The sequence below is a fragment of the Homo sapiens genome, chromosome 6, assembly GCF_000001405.40.
Source record: "Homo sapiens chromosome 6, GRCh38.p14 Primary Assembly".
NCBI lineage: Eukaryota > Metazoa > Chordata > Mammalia > Primates > Hominidae > Homo > Homo sapiens.
In genome coordinates this window covers 168,754,716-168,758,124 of record NC_000006.12, presented here as the reverse complement: position 1 = coordinate 168,758,124, position 3,409 = coordinate 168,754,716, and the positions used below count along the sequence as shown (strand labels likewise).

General features: G+C 40.7%; 1 annotated feature.

Annotated features, from left to right (window-relative positions):
* Positions 1,626–2,130: an enhancer, noted in NCBI's record as "NANOG-H3K27ac hESC enhancer chr6:169156090-169156594 (GRCh37/hg19 assembly coordinates)". NCBI's record gives its function as "activates a minimal SCP1, AML or CMV promoter by ChIP-STARR-seq in naive and primed H9 embryonic stem cells {active_cell/tissue: H9 hESC(naive and primed)}" and the evidence as "EXISTENCE:reporter gene assay evidence [ECO:0000049][PMID:30033119]".

Genomic DNA, 3,409 nt, shown 5'->3' with positions numbered 1-3,409 from the left:
GGTTTCACCATATTGGCCAGGCTGGTCTCAAACTCCTGACCTTGTGATCCTCCTGCCTCGGCCTCCCAAAATGCTGGGATTACAGGCATGAGCCACCGCGCCTGGCCTGGACTGAGTAATTTATTTTTGAGGTTTGATTGGCTCACAGTGTCACAGGCTCTGCAGGAAGCATGATGGTTTTTGGGGAGATCTCAGGACACTTTCAATCATGGGGGAAAGCAAGGAGAAGCAAGCATGTCTTACATGCTGGAGCAGGAGGAAGAGCAAGAAGGTGAAGGTGCTACATGCTTTTGAACAACCAGATCTCATGAGAACTCTATCACAAGGACAGCACTAGAGGGATGGTGTTAAACCATTAGAAACCATCCCCAGGATTCAATCACCTCCCACCAGGCCCCATCTCCAACACTGCAGATTACAATTGAACATGAGATTTGGGTGGTGACACAGATCCAAACCATATCAATTTCATGGGGTCCCAGAAGTCTCTGAGATGCTACTTATTTTTCTTCATTCTTTTTTAGATCTGATCTTCAGGCTGGATAATCTCAATTAACATATCTTCAAAATTGAAGATTTTTTTTCCTATTCAAATCTGCTATTGAGTCACCCTGGTGAAATATTTGTTTTAATTATTGTATTTTTCAATTCCAGAATTTTCATTTGTATTTTTCTGAAATCTCTATCACTTTATTGACCTTCTGTATTTTATGATATTTTGTTTTCACACTTTTTTAGAAATTATTTTCTTAATCTCTCGGAATACATTTTAAATAGCTGATTTAAAGCTCTGTCTCATAAGGCTATGGCCTTAGCTTCCCCAGGAACAGTTCCTATCAATTGCCTTTTGATATGGTTTGCATTTGTGTCGCTGCCCAAATCTCATGTCGAATTGGGGCCTAATGGGAGGTGACTGGATCCTGGGGGTGGGTCTTTTCCTCAGTGCTGCTCTTGTAATAGTGAGTGAGTACTCAGAGATTTGGTTGTTTAAAAGTGTGTGGCATCTCCCCCTTCTCTTTTCTTCCTCCTGCTCCAGGCACATAGGACGTGCTGGCTTCCTCTTCACCTTCCGCCATGATAGTAAGTTTCCCGAGGCCTCCCAGCCATGCTTCCTGTACAGCCTGTGGAACTGTGAGCCAATTAAACCTCTCTACTTTATAAATTACCATGTCCCAGGTAGTTCTTCATAGCAGTGTGAGAATGGACTAACACACCTTTTTTCTGCAGGCCATACATTCTTCTTTTTTTTTTTGGCAGGTCTCTTTATTGGTAGAAAATTGAATATTTTAAATAATATTGTGTAAACATAAAGTAGTGTGGAAATCAGATTCTCTCTCTTGTTTTGTCAGGATTTGTTGTTGCTGCCTGTAATAGTTGTGTATTTGTTTAGCAACTTTTCTTAACTAATTCTGTAAAATCTGTATTCATTATTTTGTGTGGCAGTTAAAACCTCTACTTGACTACCTCATGGTCACCTAAAGATTGGAGAAAATTCCTTATGTTCTTGGAACCAGTCTACAGGCTTTTCTGAGGGGATGGATCTCTGTGTGTGTTGGGGCATGGGTTCAGTCCTTACCCAGGTCCTTCACAACTCTTCCTCAGCCTTCACTTCCCACTTGCGCAAATGCCATGGTCAGCCAGAGTTGAGAGCACAGGGCCATCTCAGGCCTTTCCGAGCATGCACACAGCTTTTGAAAGGCGCTCAGCCTCCTGCATTCTCAGGAATACCTTAAGTATTTTCAAAGCTCCTACCTTCTTTTTCTTCATCTTTTCTTTTTAAGCTTTTTAGTTAGCCTATTGTATATCCCAACTGTTATCCATTGCCTCAGGCAGCTTCAATGTGAAAACACTTGTCTGTAGGGTTTGAATAATGCCCCCAAGGGAGAAGCACTAGCTGGACTTCAAGTCAAGAAAAATAAAGGGAAGCCTTTTAAGTCAGCCTTTCAGGGAATGACTAAATAGCTCAAATAACATCAATTCTTTAGGAATGAGCCTGTACAAAAGAGCTCCAGCTTTATCTGCTCCCTGTAGTACTGAGAATTTTATCTCTCAAAACTACAGCTGTGCCTGGGGATGAGGCATTAGACTAAGGCAATTTAAAATCTCATAAAGCTCATTGGTCTTACTGAGACTCATCCATTTTTTTGAATAAATACTTCCTGGATTCCTGTAAGCCTTTGGTTAATTTTCACAGTCCTGAAAAAGTTTATTTTGACGCATCATGCCAGTTCCTAAGAACTGCTTTTATTGAGAGGTGACTTTTCAGAGGTCTTCACTCCACTGTCAATCGAGAAAAGTGATGAGGCAAGTCTCAATCCCTTTGGGAAGTTTATTTGCGAAAGTTAAGGATGTGTGCCTGGGAGAGAGGTCTTAGCCTTTCTCTGAACATAGGGCTCCAAATGTACAAGGGAAAGGGTGCGATATGAGAAGTACACAATTTTCACCTAAGACGCGGGTGGGGAAGAACAGTCATTCATGCCTTTGTCTGGCTCAGTGAATCTGCATTCTTTTTTTTTTTTTTTTTAACATACGATTACATAGACAAATGGGGCAGAGGAAACATGCAGGAAAATGCATTTTACATAAGACGACATAGACAAATGGGGCAGGGGAACCATCAGGTATTCATTTGTGTCTGCTGGGTGGAGGGAGGAGAAGTGGTGACTGCTCCTGTAAAGATAAGCTATCAATTTACATTGCCATTGTGAAATTTTAAGAATAACACCTTAAAAGATCTTGCAGCTCACTAGGAATTTCCTTGTGGGCAAAATATGGGAAGGTGTGGCGCTTTTCATCATGTAGCCATCTTATTTAGGAACCCAAAGTGAGAGGCAGGTGTGCAGGACCCAGTTTCCAGCTTGACTTTTCCCTTTGGCTAAATGAGTTTGGGGTCCCAAGATTTAATTTCCTTTCACACCACCATCTTGTGGGTGTCAGCATTTGCAGTGTGTCTGATGAGAAATCTGTCACCCTCATCTTCCTTCCTTTGAATATACTCATTGGCTGCTGTTAAGGCATTCTCTTTTTAACTGGTTTGGAGAAATGTGATTATGATCTGCCTTGGTGTCTTTTTTTTATGTTTCTTGTGTTTGGATTTTATTGAGCTTCTTGGATCTGAGGGTACACAGCTTTCATCAAATTTTTCAGATGGATAATTACTTGATCCTGTTATTAAAATGATTTACTTGAATATTTTCTGCTCTGGTCTCAGTCATCTCCACTGATCATTCCAATGTCATCCAATTCGTGTGCAGGACATTGTCCCACAGCTAACTGATGCTCTTTCCATTTTTATTTTTCATTTTTTTCTCTCTGTGGTTTCTTTTGAGTAGTTTCTGCTAACTCTTTCACTAATTATTTTTAATTTCAATATCTAAACTTCCATTAATCTGGGGTACATTTCTCCTCA